At 45.8% G+C, this 21,853-nt stretch overlaps 1 protein-coding gene across 4 annotated transcripts in view, besides 1 other annotated feature; it reads right to left on the bottom strand.

The window, feature by feature from the left end:
- Window positions 1-21,853, bottom strand: part of OPCML (opioid binding protein/cell adhesion molecule like) — a 1,117,521-nt gene that overhangs the window by 625,014 nt on the left and 470,654 nt on the right. The window lies entirely within an intron of this gene.
- Window positions 20,225-20,725: an enhancer, noted in NCBI's record as "H3K4me1 hESC enhancer chr11:132930114-132930614 (GRCh37/hg19 assembly coordinates)". NCBI's record gives its function as "activates a minimal SCP1, AML or CMV promoter by ChIP-STARR-seq in naive H9 embryonic stem cells {active_cell/tissue: H9 hESC(naive)}" and the evidence as "EXISTENCE:reporter gene assay evidence [ECO:0000049][PMID:30033119]".

Genomic DNA, 21,853 nt, shown 5'->3' on the forward strand with positions numbered 1-21,853 from the left:
CTACAGCCTGAGTGACAGCACGAGACTCCATCTCAAAAAAAAAAAGATGGGGGATGGCAGACCCTCTATTTCCCTCTATTTCCTCACCTCCTCAGCAACCAAGCAGAACACGTCCAGAATTAATGACATCCTCACGTCAACTACTTAATCTTGAATGCTGGATAAAAGGTGTTGAATTTTATGGCATTTTTAAACCACACTATTTGACCCCCTTAAATAAAAATATTTTCACCTCTGGAATGCCTTCATCACCTCCTCCTCCCACTGCACGACTGAGCTATTCCAGTTCTTCTCAAGCTCACTCCTAACATTCACCCCACCTACCCCACAACCTGTAGCCTCCACTCATCTCCCTAAAACTCTGCTCTCTTCCTCAAACACCTTCAGTCATTTCCTGTTGCTTTTAGTTAAAGGAATCCAAAGTGTCAAACTCTTTTCCTGTGAGTCAAAGCCTTTCCCCATCTGGCCCCTCCAGTCCTTCCAAATGGAATGTCCATGACTTCCCTATAGGGATGTTTTCTTTTAATTCCTGCATGCATGTGTCAGGAGGAGTGTTGGATGTCTGAAAACGGCTTTACTGAGGACTTGGCTTGGAAGGAATTTGGAAAGAGGGGCAGGATCCACCTTGTGTAGAAGTGGCAGGACATCGTCCAGGCCTGTGCCCATCAGGAATGAGTACCTGCTACAGGAGAGGGGCCTCTTGCTTGCTTGGGCGGGGCAGTGAGTCATTCAGAGCTGCACGTATGTGACTGCGTCTCTCTGTGGGAGCTCAGTAAGTGCTCTCGCATTAATATGGAAGTCAATACCACCAGGATGGGAGAAGGAGAAAGGGTGAAGTACAGGGAAGCACATCAAACACTCGGAGAAGTGGTTTGTGCAGTTTAAAAGCAACGATACCTGTAGATTTCATAATACAAAGAGCTGAATGTAAAACCACACAGAACATCTTCTTACCTGCTAGAGATCAGCAGGGAAGGAATCAGGAAGCTTTATGGGGGCTCGGACTATAAAAGGCTGAGAAATACTGCAAGTTAGCTGGAAAAAACTTTATGATAGGATTAACTATTTTGGAGAGTTTGAGTTCAAATCTCAGATTGTTACTTAATCCCCAAGCATTTTTTAGCTCTGACCTTGGAAAAGTTACTTAGACTTTCACCATTTGGGATTCTTACTCATGGGAACATGTTTGGTTTTAATCTGTGTGATGAGAAAAACAACAGCCACCACTTCTTAGGGCTGCTGAGGATAAAATTAGATAACGCTTGTAAAGCACTTGGCTACAGCTTTGGCCCACAGTAAGTGTTCAATGTATCAGTAAATCTTCGGTGATGGCATCATGTTATTAATATTGATTGAATCAACTTTCAAACAGCAGTGACACCTTATGGCTGGGAGCTGCCTCTCAATGCATTTGCCTCTCTTTCCGCTGTAGTTGCTGCTGCCACCTCTCCCACCCTCTGCAGTCTCTCTGCACTTGTCAATTGCCTGGAAGCACTTTCATCTAGAAGTAGATGAGGAATAACTTCCAGGAAAGGAGAAAGGCATCCTGCACTGTATCTTCGAGTATCCTAGCCTGGCCTCTTCTGGCAACTGCGTCGCATATACCCTTTGCTCTTAACTCTAAGATGACTTTTTCGTGTTTTTCAAAGGAAACATCCTATACCCTGTTGTTGCCTTGATCCAAAGAATCTTCTATCAGCACGATGGGACTGCATCCCTGGGAATACAGCTTTATGAATTAAGAAATGGAAAAGGATGGGAGAATGTACTTAAAAAGACAAAACCTCCCTGAAGTCACAGCATTTCTGACATCACTCTATATAGGTCTTCTTCGGGCCCCTCCAGTCCCAAAGAACAGCAACCTTTCTGGTCCCTCCGGGTGCTTAGAGCCCTCAAGAAGGCAACACTGTTTGTATTCCACAGAAGGGGCTGCGAGTCGCCTCCAAATCCCAGGACCTGGCTCCAGGGATCAATATCCAGTCCTGTTGGCAAACGACCTTTCCATCCCCCTCATCGAATGCATCACTCAGCATGCCGTGCAGAGCTGGGGGGTGGGGGGAGCCTGCTTATTCCCTCTCTGGACACTGACTAATCACCACCATTAGGCCCACAGTCACATGTGACACGGAAACGCAATGAGGCCCCGGCTCCTATTTAATGAAGGCAGGCTCCTGGCACTGCACAGCTGCAGCGTTCAAGGAATGCCGAGGGCCTCGCCCACGTGGCCAGCCCTTACCCTCCACACTCAGTAACCCTTCCCAGAATTAATTAGAAAGGGTCCTGGGAGCCTAATGGATAGTATGGCCTCGTGTGTACGGAGTGAAGAAAAAGCAAATAAACACGCTGCCCTCATGCATGGAGCACTGGACGATGAATAAACCCTTTGACAGATGCATTCTCAGTCTTTGGACAGTTCTGCCGGCTAGGCGCATCATGACCACCACCTTACAGGTGGGCAGGCAGAGAGGCAGAGCGGGACGCAAACGGTGCAGTAGGGAATGTAAGTGCTGGTGTTGTATCCACAGAAATCCACTGCTCAACTCTCCCAATAGGCTAGTTGGGGGGACTCTAATCCCAAACACAGTTCCCACACTGGCTTCCTGAAGCTCAGAGTAACACTGTTAGTGAGCGGTCTAGGTTAACTATTACCCTGTTCCTTTTGGATTTTGCCCAAGGCTAGCTCTGCAGTTACGTTCTTCCAGGGAACCACAGGGGTAGACGCTGGCTGGTTTCCAAACGTTATCGGAGGGTGCCTTTAACGGCCAAAGTTAACACTGGAACCCTCAGCTACTCGCTGAAGCAAGAAGCCTCAGTATAACCAAGTCATATTTCTGTCATGGGCAAAATTTAATGTTGAAGACACCCGAGACGCCTCCTCTATTTTTGGCATCAACCTGCTACTGTAATTTAATTATCAAGGGAGAAAATTAGGGGACGAGATTAGCAGAGAAAAGGGTCTCTCACGTACAGTTCCACACTGAAAAGATTTCCTGCAAAACACTTGCAGACACCCAGCAAGTCTCAGAGGCGACACTTTCCCCATTTCTTCAGCCATCTCTGTCGACTCACCCAGCACAAACACACTTGGACCCCTGGGCAGCCAGGTCGGCTCAAGCAAACCACACATGGATTCCCTTCCATCTTCCACCTCATCAACTCTCCTCTTGTTGGAGAATCTTTATTACCAGGGTGGATGCAAGAGGCAGAGAGAGCCCAGCTGGGATTGTGGGTCCAGGTGCAGTTTTCTCTTCTGGCTGTTCAAAAAAATCCTATTTTGACTTGAAACTGGCCTAAATTTCCTCTGGAATTGATCGTGAGAGGGCACATATGAAACCCCACCAAGCCATTCTTAAGGAGCCATTCTTCTCATTACCTCCGCCTTTGAGGATGCCAGGCTGACCAAGGGCTCCACTCATCAGCCCCTCTGCTCCTCAGCTCTGAAATTAACCAGCCTTCCCTTTCTGCCTTCTTCATGAACCACCTGCTGTTCTCCAAAGTGTTAGGTGGCAGCTGCGCACACCCAGGGAAATAGATTTCCAGCCTCACTGTGATATTGCTTTAGGAGGGCCTGTGCCACAGTCTGCAGCCTTGGTGTGTACGGGATTAGACAACACGCATCCTGACAAACAGAATCAGCCCTTTCCCATGCAGAGCCTTCCTCCTCATGCATTTTTTGTCCATCCACTGATGCTCCCAATTGTGAGTGATTGCGTGCGGTTACTTTTATGTGCATGATGAAAAGTGCAGGAAAAAAAGGGGGACAGAAACATAACGAGATAAAGCCAGACAAATCGTTCATAGCAGATAGATCTCAAATAATTGCAAGCCAGAAACACTTTCAACAAAAGGAGTATATCCAAGAGGGAATTCATCTGTTGACACCTTTATTCATTTGTGCATACATTCACTTAAAATAAATACTTATTGGTGATCTTCCAGGTACCAGGCACTATGCTGAATCGAGGGGGGCACAGCAGACAATAACTGTTCTCACTAGGCTTACCATCTTGTGGCAGATGCTGACATATGGCCAGATCCTTAGTGTCCTCTGTGTTGAATGCTATGATCTTTGCTATCCTATGGAGAGGATCAGGAAAGCCTTCCACAAGGGAGCCAGGTCTAAGATGAAGTCAGAAAGATCAGTAGGAGTAAGCCATGTGAGAAGGGTGTGTGCATGTGCTTGCATGTGTGCACATGTGGGTGTGGATGGGTGTGCATGGGTGCATATCCACGTGCATCCTTCTGCTGAAGGTGGGAGCTAGAGAAAGGGGTAAAAGATAGTAAATGTAGAGATTCGAGGCAAAGGATTTCTGTAGGAATACAATAAGAAAGGAGATAAGCAATGGCCAGATCACGCAATGCTTTGTAAGCTATGACTCTTGAGCATGGGGAACAGAGAACAGGGGAGTAGGTAAGCTCACTAAGGAGAGAGGCTAAATTGTGAAAAAGGAAGGGGAAATCGGCTAGCCCAGTTTAAGGGACTGAGTCACACCAGTCTTTAAAAGCTCATCAAGGGAAGAACCCAAAAAAGAGGCCGAGGGCGAGCAGCCAGAGGTTAAGAAGAAGCCGTATTTATTGAATGTTTACTCTCAGCCAAGCACCTTGTATGTGTTACTTCCTTTAATCCATACCGAATTCTAGGAAGTAGGCACTATGTTAATTCATACATTATAAATGAGGAAACTGAGGCACAGAGCGGTGAAGTAGCTTGCCCAGGTCACAGAGCTAGTGATTAGCAGAGCCAGGCTTTGAATCCCGGTAGAATGATGGGAGCCTGTGCTCTTGGAAGTCCGTTCCGTACAGGGGAGCATACAGAACGAGACTCTACAGTTCAAAAGAACTGCAGTGAACAGTCACAGATTCATGAAACCCTGGTCAAAGACGGGCCCCAGAAACCACTCTCTCATTTCCAAATGAGGACACTAAAGACCAGCCCTGAATCTCAGAAGATGATCTGGAACCTCTCCTCTCTCAAGTGCTTTCCCATCTTTGGTTATAAGCAAAAGAATAAACACATTTTTCAGAATCCACAAAAGTCATCTTTGAGGAAAAAGTTGGCTACTGTCCTAGAGCTGGTTCAAATCCCCAGTCGAAGAAGCCCAGGAAGCCAGCCAAGAGACCCAATCCCTGCCCCTCACACATACCCCCGGCTCTGCTCCAAAGCTGGGGTTCCCGAAGCAATTCCTCCAGCAACCTTGGGGTGCATTCTTTCACACCTCTGGCAGGATGGATTCTGATTCATGTCACATCGTTATTTCATGTCTGCATTTTGTCCCCTCCTGAGATGGTTGGCCCTTCAAGCCAGGGAACCACGTTCTCAGGGCCTCCTCTATGGTCTTCGCTAGCTCTATTGCAGTAGGTACTTCATACAAGTTTGCGGAGTAAACAAGGGACCCACGCACCCCGGAGGGACAGTCACAGATGATTTCCTCTCATTCCTTCCAAAGCACAAGGTATCTGGCTTCTGGACAGAGCTCTGAAAAGGAGTGGCAGCTGCTCAGTGATGTAGCACCGTCATTGGAGAGGGAGAAACAAAAATTCAGTCTCTCTAAAATAGATGATAAAGGGTCAGGGTTTCACTCTTGGCCAAGGTGGGACACCGCCTCCCCGCTGGAAAGCTCTGCCCTGTGAGCTGGTCTCTGCCATCTTCTTCCCTCTCCCAATCAGGAGCATCACCTGTCATCGGGCTTCACGTTTACTGAACAGTGTGCAACCAGTGATATCTTCGTCTTCTAGCATGTTAGAGACATTTACTCAGGACTTCTCTAAATTAGCTGAGAGATGTGTGCAAGACTGCCTACTGGTAGACAGCTTCATAATGGTTAGACAGCCTGCCAAGGGAAGGCTTCTTCTCAAAGTAACTTGCAAATTAGGGCACTGTGATGGCTCAATAGTCACCTGCTTCCAATGGCTGCCTGTAGCCAAGCAAGAGGTGAGCCAAGTCGTTGACAGTCAGTAGGAGTTACTGCTTAGCATGTGAAGCTACAAGATGCTCACCGGCAAGGGGCTTGTGGAAAGGAAAGACAGCCCTGTTCTCTGCCCTCATGAGTTGCGACTGAAAGCTGAGGTTTCTGCCTTTGCCTCGCTCTGGAGACACCAGCCCGAGATTCGACCTGGGGAAGTGTGTGAGAACCTGTACACCCTTTAGTTCTTGACTTGCTGTGTGTTTTCAAGTGACTTACCTAGATTCTCTGGGAAAGCTGAGGAGGAGAACACCATACCTACTTTGTACTTGGTCAATGCCTTTGAAAATTTTCCCGCATTTTAAATGTTAAAGTTCTTTGGAAGGAGGCAGTGTGTTTACAGAGACAAGCAAGAAGCAGTAGCTCATATTTGACAGTGTGAAAATGACTAACAATCAAATTTGCTGAGTAGCCAGTCCGCTAAAGAACATCGTATCCTGACGCCCTTTCTGCCCGACACACAGACCTCTGCCCTCTCCATTCTTACAGTCTGTTCTTGCAGGAATGAGCCACGGCCTCCCTCCCCTTGTCCTCTGCTGATAGACTTCAATGCCAGGAGCTTTTCATCTAACATCAGACAGCATCATAGGCATCATATAAAAAGGAAGCTGGGAGAACACAACACAACGCCAGGCATTTACCAGCTAACACTTTGCCCACATTCCTCCCTGCATAGCCCCTGGCATGTGGGGTTCTGTAGAGTACAGGATTAGGGGTGCCCATACTGTGGTTCACTTGTCCTACCCCCTTGCATTCTTTCCTCTGCCTATGTTGTGGGCTGTAGCATTTTAATGCCACAAAAGGAAATTTACAGATTTTTTAAAAAATCTACTTAACAGCAGTCTCCTCTTGGAGATGTAAATATTCATAAACATATCAACTCTTCCAGACCCATCACAAATAGAACTGCCAGTGACACCCCTGCTGCCTTAGGCATTGTTCTAATAAGTTAGGAGCCGGGGAGTGGAAGGGGATATTTTTAACTTTACAATTTTTTTTTTTTTCAAAAGCCATTTTAAAGTGCCCTGCTGGGAATGGAGCTGGAAAGAAGCTGTTTTCTGGAAACAGAGAAGGCTTCAAACAGAGCTGTGGGTCAGACCTGAAACGGTGATTGAGACAAGGTGATCATATCTTGCATTTCCATCACACAGACCTCATGGAGGAAACTCAGGAGAACAAAATCTGAACATGGCTTCACGTGGCCCCGTGTGGAAATATGTGTCACCTTCTCCACAGATGGGGCTGCCTCAGCCTAAGCAGCACATGCCACTTTTAGGGGAAACCCCAGAGGGTTGGCAGGACAAGATAGAGCCATGAGTGTTCCTCTGAGTTCATTCAGACAGTCACTGGGGGCATTTCTTCATCGTGATGCAGCTATTCATACTATGGCTTCTCAGCTGGTGTAGCCGCGATTGCATTATCTGGGCATAAGTCTTTGATAAATATGTTTCCTTGATTCGGTTGTTATTTATTATTCAATAATTGTCCTATTAAACTTAAATTAATGGGGTATTTGGGATCCATTCCTGAATGCTTCTTCCACTTGTTTCTGTCAGGGAATTCTGCCGGCTCTTTAATAACACCCAGCTGTGGATGGCACTGCGGCCCACGTGCTCCAGCTGAGGTCTCCCGCAGCTGTACACAGACAGCCTGGCGACTGCTGGCCGTGGGTCACTGTCCATCCATCACTCCGGCTACACTTCTCCACCCCTCCTCCGTCTCTCTGCCACTTCCATCCCCAGCCCACTCCTCAGGGAGCAGCTTGAAAGATTACAGCTCAGAAGCAGACAGGGTGGGAAAAGGAGAAAGGATTTGAGAGAAAATAGTTTCATGAGAAGACAGATAACAGAGTTGTTGAGGCTGTGTTAATTAAAAAGCAGCAATTTGTCTGAGTTCTGAATGTGAAGAATCCCCTGGGAGATGTTAGCCAGGCTTCCTCTGAGAGCCAGACGCCCTCCATTTCTATCTGGCACATGCTATGGCCAGGGCACTGCGAGAGGGTTTCTGCCCTATTTGTCCTTGTCCAGAAACTGAGGATTCCTGGAGGCCCAAGGCCACAGTGCCCACTGCCTTCCTGCCCCACCCTGCCCAGACACTCTCATCGGGCTTGAGGAATCGGGTAAGACGCATGCATGGCTTCCCCAGATGGAATGTCCTGCTGATTCCCTATGGGATGCTAACTCCCCTACTAATACTTACAAAAAACTTGTCCTAGGCCAGGCAATTTCATAGGAGCTTTGCATAATTAATGCATGTTAATTTTTACAACAATCCCATGAGGGATGTACTCTTATTATCTCCATCTTATCAGAGAAGAAACTGAGACACAGGCGTGCATTAACTCAATCGACAAATAGTAACGTTGAGTTTCAAATACAAGCAGACGGACTAGAGAGCAGTTCTGATTAACCACTGTGCTGCATTGGCCATCACAAGGACTATTGACTGCATTAGGAGAGACGCCTAAAACCCCGTATGAGAATGCAGCCAACTCATCATACCACTTAGCGCCAGAAACTACACGCTCTAAATAGACAGAGAGCACCTACTGGATAAAGAGCTGTTCTCAGTGTATTGCAGGTTAATTAATCTTGTGACTTTGTGTTGCCTTGAGAAGAGATGAAAGTCTCTCTTTGTCTGTGCCACTTACTTACTTAGAAACAAAACAATAAAACATTTTTTTCTATGGGTTCATGGTTCTTACTGACAAGATACCCCAGAAGAAAGAACTATACAGTACTAGATAGAGCTGATACAGAGAGATGCTTTGCTGTTATGCCCCAGAGAGACACTGTCTTTCAAGATTGAGGTCTGGAACTCTGTCTTCTCCTGAATTACTCTAAGCTATGGCTCTTTGAAGGTATTTAGGACATGTTTCCCAGAATGCCACTGTACATAATGTGCATTTTGACCATAAAGTGCCAAGCAAGCTAGTATCATTAATAAATTCAGTCAGTTTGAAAGTCTAGTCAATATTACTTTACAAAAGCTCAATAACAGATAAATGTTTTCCATTGATTCAAGACTAGCAGCTTCATTAAGCATTACTATTTATACAAAAATATTTACCAAAAACCTGCTATGTGGCAGACTTCACTCTTAGCACTATGGATACAGCAGGAAATGGCACAAATATCCCTGCCCCTGTGGGGTTTACAATCTAGCTGTTTTCCTTCAAATATGGAACTTCCTGTGAGTGTAACATTGGATTCTATGTGATTTTCAGATTTCCAAGACTATTAATTACATAAAAAGGAACTTACGCATCAGCAAGGGAAGCCCACAGCCATAATCTGAACATAACCTACTCAGGTCAGTTCCTATTGCTTTAGAAGACTCAGTGGCAACTGGAATTGTCACCAGGGAGGAGAATGATCTGTCTACTGAGCAAGCTGTCTCTTATCGCGGGCAGCCTGGGGTAGTGGAGTGAGCCCTGGACTTGGAATTGGAAGATCTGACACACCTGACCTCCCACTCACTAATCACGTGACCTTTCAGTAAGCAACTTGACTTCTATGGCCCTTAGTGTCTTCGTCTGTAAAATGAGGAAGAATAATACCCATCACATCTATTTGAATGTTAAAAAATCCAAAGCAAAGCAAAACAAAAGAGAAGTTGATCGCAGATGAGGAAATGCTTGGAATTCATGAAATTGCATGTAAATGTGAAGTGCTAATATCAATGACATGAGGTGTACATAGAGTGTGATAAATATGGGCAGTCTTATAATCTGATTTGTAACCCGTCACCGTGCAGGACAGAGTCCTCCTGGAAGCTGGTTTCACTCCCGTGCTGTGCTCTCCACCTGTGAGGGCTTCTTTATGTGTCAGCTCAGCTAGGCTGAACGGCAGCCCCCAGAATCCACATTCTAGTGTATTTCCAGTTAGCTGGGCTGCCGGGGAGACCCCCTCAGGAGGGTGGGAGGGCAGTAGCTGCCTCTCTAGCATGCATGCCTCTTCTCTCAGTTATTCAGCCAAACGCTGATCTAGGTGCTCCTGTACAAGGATTTTGTAGCTAAGGTGGAAATCCCTCACCAGTTGACTTTAAATTAATCCAAAGGGAGATTGTCTTCTGTGGGCATGACTTAACAAGTTGAGAGTCTGTAAATGAGCTTAGCCCTTCCCTGAGGGAGAGATTCTAAACAGCCCCTGGGCCAGCACAGCTCTCCTTCTTCCAATCCTTCCTTCCTGGCTGCCACTTTTAGACACTCAGCTTTAGCTCCTGCCCATTCTAGTTTGTTCATGGTCTTCCTCTCCTGACTGTCCACCCTAAGAACTTTGGTCTTGTGTAGCCATCATCTGCAATGGGGTAAACCATTCCTTGCAGTAACTTTATTCATATACACATACACCTTCTCTGATTGTGCTACTCTGCTTGAACCCTGGCAGAGACACATCCTACCTTGCTTGTCCAGGTAATGAGCTTGCCTGTAATGAGCAAATTATTTCTACCCATGGGTGTTCTTATGGTTAAAGAAAAGTTGACCTCAGTTTCCAAGTCCCTTTGGAAGACACAAGCATCTGGCACATTACATGCTGGGGGAGTGGTCTGATGAAATGAGCCAATTTATAATGTAAAAATCAATAAGGAATAATGAGGTGGAGCCCAGGGAGGACTTGCTTTGGAGTCCTAATTTCCATGTCCTACCACTCAGAACCATGCCATGGGCTCACCATTTCCTGGATGTAGGCCTCCCTTCTTAGGATTTAGTTTCACATTGCAGTGTAAAACTAAATGGTCTACCAGTTTCTTCTTCTTCTTCCTTTTTTTTTTTTTTCAGTGCATTTTGTCCTGAACAATCAAGATAGATGGCCAGCTCAGGTAAGTTTGTGCAACAATCCCAGAGAAAGAAGCTCTAAATCAATCTATTGGGGAAATATTAATGCTCTCATTAGGAGGCTTAATTATTCACATCAGCCTCTGCTTCTTTTCGTGACAGTAATTCCATTTCTGACTTCAGAGCAATTGCTCTTCTCAAACTTGCGAGACACCCAACAGGTGCTCTCTGTCCCCAGAATGTTAAAATATTTTGCATACAGCCAGAAGAGATCCATCTCAGACCAGCCTTGCCTCCTCCTGTCCCTCCTCCATGTGTGTACATACACACACACACACACACACACACACACCTCTCAAAGCTTATGCCCTCTGAATATTCAGACCAAAGCTCATAACTTCTCCCATGCACACTCAGACTTACATTCCCATCTTTTTCCCATTCGGACTAATAACAATGGAAACAAACCCACACATATTGATTTCTCTGTGCCAAGCACTGTTTAAAATGCTTTAAATATATCAACGGGTGTCTAGCGTCTGTGAAGTAGTACTATTTTATTACCCGTATTTTACCAACAGGGGAACTGAGACACAGATGATCTGCATCTTGCCTGAAGTCTCCCAACCGAAAAAAGGAAGAGTGAAGCAGTTAGAGTCTGCACCCAGACATTCCAGGGCTGCAGCCCCTGAGCTTCATCATTAAAGCACCCCTTCCTGTTCAGGGTACTCACTACACTATGCTTCTCTTCTGCATGCCTTCCAGGAGGTTTTGCTGGGTTTTTGTTTGTTTGTTTGTTTGTTTTTTAGCCCTCTACCATTCTCACTTGCCTGCCCCACTCCTCGGTTCACACATCTCCCCAGCAGCACATGGCTATCTCTTGATGACCATTGGGAAAGAAGGCATCATGTCGACATAGGACAAGACTGGCATTCTGTATTTTTTCTTGTAAGCCTCTCCCCACAACCATAACACAAAGCTCAAATGTCTTCTAGGCAGCCCAAGCCCTTCAGCATCCTCCCACTGACACCGCACAGAAGACAACATTTCAAATCCTGTACAAGGATTCTGTGGTGTTCCTCTCTCCACCGCCCAAGCCTGCATTTTCCAGATGGACAGCTCTGCTGCAGGCACTTCAGTATCAGAAGCAAATATACCCCAAACAGCTTTTTGTCATGCACTTGTCTTTCCCTAGAGCTCTGCCTCACCTTACAGAGTCAGCGGGGAGGAGATAAACCCCCAGGGGTTCAACAAAGCAAAGCTTCTTTAGAATTTGTGGGGATTTCAATTCTGGCTAAACCACCAGGTTCATACCCTCAGGGGACATCACAAAGAGATTTGAAGATTTTATACTAAGGCAGTTTTTTTCCCCCTTTGATTAAAATACACCAAAAACACTGTTCTGATGAGTAGGACATTAATTGAATACCCTATTTCCAAATAAACTAAGGGTTTTGGAGAGTTGGAGAATTATAGTTAGGACGAATAATGATGAGTTTCAAATACATGAAGAGCTCTCCAGCTAAAATTAAAATAACCAGCAACTAAATCAAGTGAAACAGACCAGCATTATAGAATAATCATTTGAGGTCACTCCATTATTCAATAAACATATTTTTTAACCTGAGTCTATGGTGTGCCTGTCACTGTGCTAGAAACTATACTTGATGAACAGGACTAAAGAGGTCACTGCCCTCATAGAGCTTAGATTTGGGCAGAATGCTGGGAAGCATATCTTGACACTGTCTGCAGGAGACTTCATGTCCACGTGCTTCATACTTTAGGGGACATCTGCCCTTCACCGCCAGCCCAGTGTCCCTTATTTTGTCCATGGCACCTGGATGTTGCCTTTAGAGAGCAACCTCTATGTCCAGATCAGTTCTGCTGGCTCTGGAGCCAGGCATGTGGGCCAGTCCCTTTGAGAACACTGTGTGTCCTTGGGGATAGTGATTGTTTCCCAGATGAGCAGGTGGCCAAAGTCAAGCAATGAGAGCCACCCAGCCACATGAGACTTTGACTCCTGGATTTTCCAAATGGTTGGAAGTGAGCCATGATCTGCTAGACGCCAGCACATGGGGAACCTGCCAAGACTGAGGGCAACAGAGTGGAAAGCAGAGGCCTGAGCCCAGGGATGGAGAGGATCCTAATTACACCATTTGAGCCCCTGAATCCAGTTATTCTGAAGTCAGTTCTTCTTAGAGACTTTTGAGATATCTGAATTAAACCTCCCTCACTTTTTCACTCCCTTGAGTCATTTTGAGGTGGTATTCTATTCATTGCAACCACAACAGGTCTTGACTAACAACAGTTAAGAATTTCATTCATTTTCAGCTGGCCTTTGAACAGGAACATCTCCATCTGCTGTGTTTATGACACATCTTGGTTGGACTCCCAGTTCATCATTCACCAGATTTGGGACCCTGATCCTTAGTTCTTTCACCTCTACACTGGTGATAATGTCAGAGCCTTCTTTCTAGGTTTGCTGAAAAATGCCTTGAGCTCATGATGGAGACTGCTTGGCACAGTGCCTGGCACATGGTAAGCCCTCAACGCATGGCGTGCATTGTGATTATGATGATCACGGTCATTATCATAATCATCATCATAAACATCCCAAACCCTCTCTTGGCTCCATGCCCTTCCCTCTTGTAACTGCCTTGTTTCTCTGCTCTCTTTAACAACAAAGCTCTTCGTAAAAGATCACATATGCTCTCTGATTTGCACTTTTTACTTTCTGTCCCCTGGTTTCCATCCACTCCAGTCAGGCTCTGTTCCCATTTTGCGATTGAAATTTCTGTTGTCAAGATCACCTAGGAATTCCCCCATGCAAAAAACAATGATGAAATTTCCTCTTATTCTATTCAGTGCCTTTTAGCACAGATGACTCCTTCTTCCTCTTGAAGCACTTTTCTCAACTGGCTTCTGGGAAAGCACGCTCCAGGCTTTTCTTCGACCTAACCTCCATCGTCTGTCTCAGTCTTGGCTGGTTGTTCCTCCTCATCCAGATCAGCTCTCCCTCCCTGCCTCATCTCACTGAGTTCGTGCCCAGGAAAACCACTCATTCCTAATGGCTTTGGGATACACACCTCTATTCCCAATCCCTCTTCTCAAGTCCTTCAATCTAACCATCCACATGGCAACTTCACTTGGATGTCCAACAGCGCCCTTAAATATGCATAATGAGCAAAACTGACTTTTCCTTTTCACCACCACTCTCTTCCCCTGAAATCTGCTCCCTTTCATGGGGTCTCAATCTTGGTAAACACCATTGCCATTCTTACTTTCTCAGGCTAAAACCCTAGATGTCATCTTTGATTCTTCTCTTTTCCTGGTCACCCTTCAGCAGGCACTGTAGGCTCTGGCTTCAGGTTTATTCCAAATATGAGTCTATATCATTTTCCCCACCTTTCCCACCTGAGTCCAGGCATAGGACCACTGCAGCAGGCTCTGACTGGCCCTGCTCTCATCATGTTGGCCCTCTTATACATTGACAGATCAGCTCATACTTCTGTCACCTCAAAACCTCTGGTGGCTTTCTATTATACCTGTCATCAAACCCAAACTTCTTAAAAAGTCAGATGGCATTTATGTCATATGTGGCACCTGCACCCTTTTCTAACAGTCACTTGCAGACTCTATCTCCTTGTCTGTCCCTTGTCACTGTACCCCAGCCACACTCAGTGTGCACCAGGAGTCTCCAGAAGTGCCACACTGGAACCAGGCTCAGAGCTTTTGTTGCTGCTGTTACTTTTGCCTGGAACACTGCTCTCCCAGGGCTGCTCCTCACAGAGGCTTCTCATTATTAACTTCATCTATTTGTTGTCTGCCTTTACTGGTTGGGCACATCATCACAGGGGCATAGACGAAACACTTACAGGAATTTAAAATCAACAGGCAAAGATGATTTCGATTTAACCATCAGAAATGGGGACACTTCTCAGTCTGCTCTCTCCTCATAAAGCCTTAGAGAGTCCAACTGCCTCTTCTCAGCCTAGTGTGGAGACCTGAAGTTGAGAAACATACTTCCAAGTGGCGAGATCCTGTGAAGGAGCTGCCTTTACTATACAATGCTGCCTCCATGATACTTCCAAGTGGTGAGACCCCATGAAGGAGCCACCTCTACTGTACAATGCTGCCTCCATGATACTTCCAAGTGGTGAGACTCCATGAGGGAGCCGCCTCTACCATATAATGCTGCCTCCATGATACTTCCAAGTGGTGAGACCCCACGAGGGAGCACCTCTATCGTACAATGCTGCCTCCATGATACTTCCAAGTAGTGAGACTCCATGAGGGAGCCACCTCTACTGTACAATGCTGCCTCCATGATACTTCCAAGTGGTGAGACTCCATGAGGGAGCCGCCTCTACCGTACAATGCTGCCTCCATGATACTTCCAAGTGGTGAGACCCCATGAGGGAGCCGCCTCTACCATATAATGCTGCCTCCATGATACTTCCAAGTGGTGAGACTCCATGAGGGAGCCACCTCTACCATATAATGCTGCCTCCATGATACTTCCAAGTGGTGAGACCCCATGAGGGAGCCACCTCTATCATACAATGCAGCCTCCATGATACTTCCAAGTAGTGAGACTCCATGAGGGAGCCACCTCTACTGTACAATGCTGCCTCCATGATACTTCCAAGTGGTGAGACCCCATGAGGGAGACGCCTCTACCGTATAATGCTGCCTCTATGATACTTCCAAGTGGTGAGACTTCATGAGGGAGCCGCCTCTACCGTACAATGCTGCCTCCATGATACTTCCAAGTGGTGAGACCCCATGAGGGAGACGCCTCTACCGTATAATGCTGCCTCTATGATACTTCCAAGTAGTGAGACTCCATGAGGGAGCCGCCTCTACCGTACAATGCTGCCTCCATGATACTTCCAAGTGGTGAGACTCCATGAGGGAGCCGCCTCTACCATACAATGCTGCCTCCATGATACTTCCAAGTGGTGAGACCCCATGAGGGAGCCACCTCTATCGTACAATGCTGCCTCCATGATACTTCCAAGTAGTGAGACTCCATGAGGGAGCCACCTCTACTGTACAATGCTGCCTCCATGATACTTCCAAGTGGTGAGACTCCATGAGGGAGCCGCCTCTACCGTATAATGCTGCCTCCATGGTACTTCCAAGTGGTGAGACCCCGTGAGGGAGACGCCTCTACTGTACAATGCTGCCTCCATGATACTTCCAAGTGGTGAGACCCCATGAGGGAGCCACCTCTACCATACAATGCTGCCTCCATGATAATTCCAAGTGGTGAGACTCCATGAGGGAGCCGCCTCTACCGTATAATGCTGCCTCCATGGTAAAAGAGAGAATATTTAAATATTTGGTGTTCAAATGACTCAAAAGGCCCAGTTATCATGGATTGGGAGGAAGGGAAGCAAAACAAACTGGGAGATGGAGGGGGACAGAGAATGATTTATAAATGATTGTTATTCTATATGTGATATCTAATAAAAAGTCATCCGTGGTCATTCCTAAACATCTGATGTAAAATTGATTGTAATTTCATAAACTACTGTGTGGCCCTAAAAGGAAAAATGAGTGACTGAGAGGCTCAGTGAACATGAATACAGAATGATTAGCTTCATAAACATCTGAATCCATACCTGCTTAGAGTCTCTGGGGAATTGGAAATCAATCAGGTAAGCCAGATCAATGCTAAATCTCTCCCCAGATTCAGTAAATCTCTAATCGTGGAGAGAATGTCTCTTTTTATGAAAACCAAAATAAACCAGGACACATTTAAATCTACTGTAAAATTAACTAGTTATTTCAGAATTCCCCAAAATTAAAAGTCTGGGGAAGAAAGTCTATTTTTACAGATGAAGCAACATTCCTCCAAACTCAGTTTAACTGAACTTTATCCTACATCTATGATGTTATTACCTGATTAATTCAGCCTGATTCTAATCACATTTAATCTCTGCCAAGCCCTCAAGCATGTGCAGTACTCAGATGGTTTTCTATTAATTTTTAATCACTATGTATGGTTCCGTAAGTGTAAAATCTCATTCATGGACATTGTTTTCTTTGTGAAACAGATTCTCAACTCCTCGAGGGGAGAGACATTAGGTGGCTTACTTATTTATTTAATTTATTTATTTTGAGACGGAATTTTGCTCTTGTTGCCCAGGCTGGAGTGCAATGATGCAATCTTGGCTCACCACAACCTCCGCCTTCCGGGTTCAAGTGATTCTCCTGCCTCAGCCTCCCGAGTAGCTGGGATTACAGGCATGCACCACCACACCTGGCTAATTTTGTATTTTTTAGTAGAGACGGGGTTTCTCCATGTTGGTCAGGCTGGTCTCGAACTCCCGACCTCAGGTTATCCACCCGCCTTGGCCTCCAAAGTGCTGGGATTACAGGCGTGAGCTGCTGTGCCTGGCTAGGTCGCTTACTCTTTTATCCTTTGTCTTTAATTTTATTTGACCAGGGTTCTGTTCCTTAGATGTAGGTAGGTAGGATCACATGTGAAATACTTGGCTCCAGAGTCTAAGGGAATACCTCTTACATAACCTCTGTTGCCAGGAGGGCCAATGTAGATCATAGATTGGCATGGGGTTTGATTCAGAATTGTCCAAGGCCAAAGGCTGCTGGATTTGGTGCCCACTCCCTTAATCAGGTCAGCTGGCGGCTCTTCGACTGATTGCCCAGTTCCAGTCTCTGCCCTTCCTGTCCTGCTCTGTGCCTTGGAGACTCTGCTGTCTGCAGATACCACCACCCCAGCTTCCCTTGCCTTCTGCTTCTGGGTGGGTGTGGCCAGTAGAATTCTCCAGTAGGACATGGGAGGTGGAGGACAGAGTTTGAGGTCCTATCACCCAGCTCCTGTCAGGCAGCTCCACTTGCAAAGCTATAGCCTGCCCCTGTCCCTAGCAACTGGTCTGCTATTTGCCCTTTTTTCAAAGGACAGAAATGACTCCCACTGTTGCTAGTCACCATCACATGCGTCCTGTGAACTCTGCCCACACCTCTGTCATCGTCCCTTCATTGCACATCCTTCTGTTCAATCCATTGGGTTTTCTGCATGACCCTCTCAAGTCCTTAGTACTCTCAGGGGCACAATGAGGGGCACCAGACAAAAATGTGTGAACTCCTGCAGTGCCAGAGACAAAGTTCCAGGTGTTTGCAATATAAAAAATTAATTAAACACCCTATCTTTTCTAACCCTGTACATCTGTTTTCTTTAGAACACATCATAATATACTTTATTTTTACTAGTGCGTTATCTGCCTTCCGCACTAGACTAGGAATACCTCCAGGGCTAGAGCTATGTCTGTTTTACTCAATGTATTTCCAGCTCCTGGCCAGTACCTGGCACAGAGCTTGTTTACATTTGTAAAGCTCTTGGAGAATTTTAAACTGAGTGGTAAAGCCAGGCAAATAATTAACTATAATATAATGTGACAAATGTTTGAAAGTAGCATTATTAAAGTTATCAAACCATAGAGGAGGAGGAAGGGTTTGATTCTTCCTTGGTTGCGTAAAGACTTCAGGAAAGAAATCACCGAGAGGTGACACATGACGTGGAATTTAAAGGATGAGTGAAGTTCCCCAGAAAGAAAGTAGCAAAAGGAGAGCAATTCCAGGTACAAACAGCATCAGAGATGCAGGAGAGCATGGTGTGTTTGCATGTTTGCAGACTGGGGCGGGGGCACGCGGGGTGCATCCTGATACACACAGAGACATGGGGATTCCAGCAAGAGCTCAGATAAATGGGGCGGGCAGGTGTCACATCGAGCATGCCACCCACTCCTCAACCAGTTAGGGACTCTCTCCCTGTGTCCACTTCTGTTTTATGATGCACCTCCTAGAGCCTAGAGTATCAGAAAGCAGCTAGTCCCGCTCCCATCAGGGCAGCTCTGGAGGGACCAGGCATCTCGGAGCACGCTGGCTAAATCAGGTAGTGAGCGCGGCTCCCCACGCCTGGGTTTTCGCTTCTCCTCTGTGCTTCTCGGCACCTCCCAGTAGAGGCCAGTAGTCTCATTTACACTTTTTGCCCAGCTTAACATCAACTGCTGAGAGTCTATACATAACCTAAGTATTTTAAGGATAAAAATAATCTGGCAAGATGACTTTACAGTCAATAGATAGAAGTAACTTGCTCTTCAGGAGAAAAATGAAGCCTGAAGTGTGAAGATGCCCACAGGGAGGGTTCCAAGCTTGCCTCACTGACCTAGGCTGCCGCCACTGGGCTGGTAACTAAACCAGAAAATGAGAATTCCAGGGAAACTTTGCTCTAAGCTTCAGGCTTATGGTAACTTTGCAAGGACCTTTATCTTTTGTCATTGAAACAAATCAAATTTTCCTCCAGGACTACCTTGTGGATTTCCAGCAGGCTGACTCCATGGTCCGAACATTGATTTTGTGTGTTATCATTCAGAGATCAAGGCAGTAATAGCACAGACCAGTACTAGGGACCTATCTAGAATTGTATTGCCACCTTGACATTTCTTATCTTACAGATAAAGCTCAAGGAAGACATCTAAAGGGTTTCTGGTCCCAGAGCCTTTGTACTCAAAGGATCTGCGGATTCTTTCATCTGGTGGTTCTTAGAGTGTGATCCACAAATCTCTAAGACTGCCCAAGACCTTTTAGGGAGGTCAGAACTATTGTCAGGATAACATTAGGACATTATTTGCCTTCTTCACTGTGTTGATATTTGCACTGATGGTGCAAAAGCAGTGGTGGGTAAGATGGCAGGAGCCTCAGGCATGGACAACCCCAGCACACAAAGCCCATTGCATGAGTAGTCACTGCACTCTTCACCTCCGCACGCTTGCAGGGAAACCCAAACGCCAGTTTCACTTAAGAATGCCCTCATTAAACAAAGAAACACTTGATTTTATTACATTTCAAATCTTGAGTACACATTTTTAAAACTTTGCCTGGTGAGATGGAAGGGTCACCCAGAACACTTCTGCTGCACAACCAAGTAGTATGATTGTCTCAAGAAAACATTCTTTTGTTTGAGTTGCAAGCTGAGCTAGCCACTGTTTTCATGGAGCACAATATGTGCTTGAAAGAAGGATGGACGATGTGTTATTATTAGACTTGGGTACTTGGCAGCCATTTTCTCAAAAGGGAATGAAATTAGTCAGTTGTTTCATGGAAACCAACTCACAGTATCCACTGCCAGTGTTCAAATGTGAGCTTTCAGGTAAAGAATAGAATTTTGGAAAACTTTAATCAGCTACTATTATCTTTACAGCTGTTGATACTCCATCTTTTCTAGTGAGATCTGTGGTGATGTTCAGGCAAAAGACAGGATTTCAAATTCTAGATTTGCCACAAACTTTCCATCAGATATTTTAAGGCCGTTCCTTTCTCTGGATCTCATGCTACTAAACTTCAAAAAATGGAATTAGAATAAAGGATTTTTTAGGTCACTTCCAAATCTTATTCTCCTCTCCCTCTCCCTCTCCCTCTCCCTCTCCTTCTCCCTCTCCCTCTCCCTCCCCCTCCACCTCCTTCTCCCCATCCCCTCAGGATTCACAGCTTCTAAGCTTCTAATTCAGGAAGAGTATTTACTACTGGTGTAAAGAGAGAGAACACAGAAGCTGTTAGAAGGGAATGATTCCTTCTGTCCTTCATTTTCACTGAGCACTGTACCAGCAGAACCTCTAAAATATAAGCATCTGACACAATAGCCGCATGCTGTTACATATAGTCACATGTAGAAGACAGTTCTCCACCCTTAAAACACACCTCAGTGCCTGCGTGCAGGTCTAGGCTCAGACCTGTCTGTCCCACGCTCAGGACAAAGTCACCCCTAAGGTCAGAGAGAGACAGTAGGTGCAGGCAGGGTGTGGAGGGGAGGGGCAGCCACCAGGCCTTGGCTCCCCAGGTCCCTGCTCCTACTGTGGCTGCATGACAGGACCTGCCAGGTGAGAAAACAGGCCTCTTATTGGGAAGGCAGGTGCCTCATTCAAGATTCTACGTTTTCCTGAAGGGTGCTGAGAAAGCCTTAGAGCAACTTAGAAGTCAAGCCCACCTGGAGGGCTGGGAACGCTGCACACAGCAGCCCCTGGCTAAACACTGCTGACTGGGCAGCTGGCTGCATGCAGAGATGACAGGCTCACCAAACCCTACGTGGGCATCAGCCAGTGGGCCCATTGCCTCCAGGGCTGCAGAGACTGCTTTTCCAAGTTTGCCCCCCTCAACAAGATCACTTTTGCCTCCACTTAACTTTTGCTATAGTTGAATTTCCTTAAAGTGTGTCTAAGAGGGATGCGAGCTAAAGAAAGAAAAAGGATAATAGTTTTTGTTTGATTTTATTTTCATGTTTATTTTTAGTGTTGGGGAGTGTCCCTATGTTGCTCAGGCTGGTCTTGAACTCCTGGGTTTAAGCAGTCCTCCTGCCTGAGCCTCCCAAACTGCTAGGATTACAAGAGTGTATCACCACACCCAAGAAGAATGACAGTTTTGTTTGAAGCTGATCATTTTGGTTGACTGCAAGAAGATAATCCTTTGTGTTAATTTCTTCTCTGTTTAAAACTGTCTACGTCTCCAAAAAGCTGGGGAACTATTGGCAGACTCCAAAGGATTCTACCTCTTCCTCTTCCTTTCCTTTACAGTCTGCAAAGCCTGCAGTCACAAAGAACTAATTCTGCAGTGGATGTGTTTTGCTTCCTCACATCTGGATATGGGGAGAAGGGAAGTGGGAAGTGGGGATGGGGCTGCAGGCATGGGAAGAGCCCTGGAGATGGAAAGGAAATATCCTTGTGGGACTAAATTGCATTCACCATAATAAACTATCACCTTGAAATGAGTGTTCCAATTGAGTTTTGATGTAAACACTAATATTTTCTTCACTCTGCTATTCTCTTCTGAGCTCTCATGTATATTTCACCACGTGTCCTACCTAGTCTTACACTCATACATCAAAGGATTGAGGGCAAGGAACCTGATTTTGAAAACATTATTCTTTTAAAGATTTATCCTCTCATCTTGACCACCTCCTTAGCTGGAAGGGAGAAGTTCTCCATAATTTATTTTAATGTGCTATGCAAAAGGGATCTTCTCATCTCTTCTTTCAAAAACTTTTCCGCAAGTCAGATTAGACAGGGCCCTCAGTTCCATTTCGTTTGTTTTC

This window comes from Homo sapiens, chromosome 11 (assembly GCF_000001405.40).
Source record: "Homo sapiens chromosome 11, GRCh38.p14 Primary Assembly".
Taxonomy (NCBI): domain Eukaryota; kingdom Metazoa; phylum Chordata; class Mammalia; order Primates; family Hominidae; genus Homo; species Homo sapiens.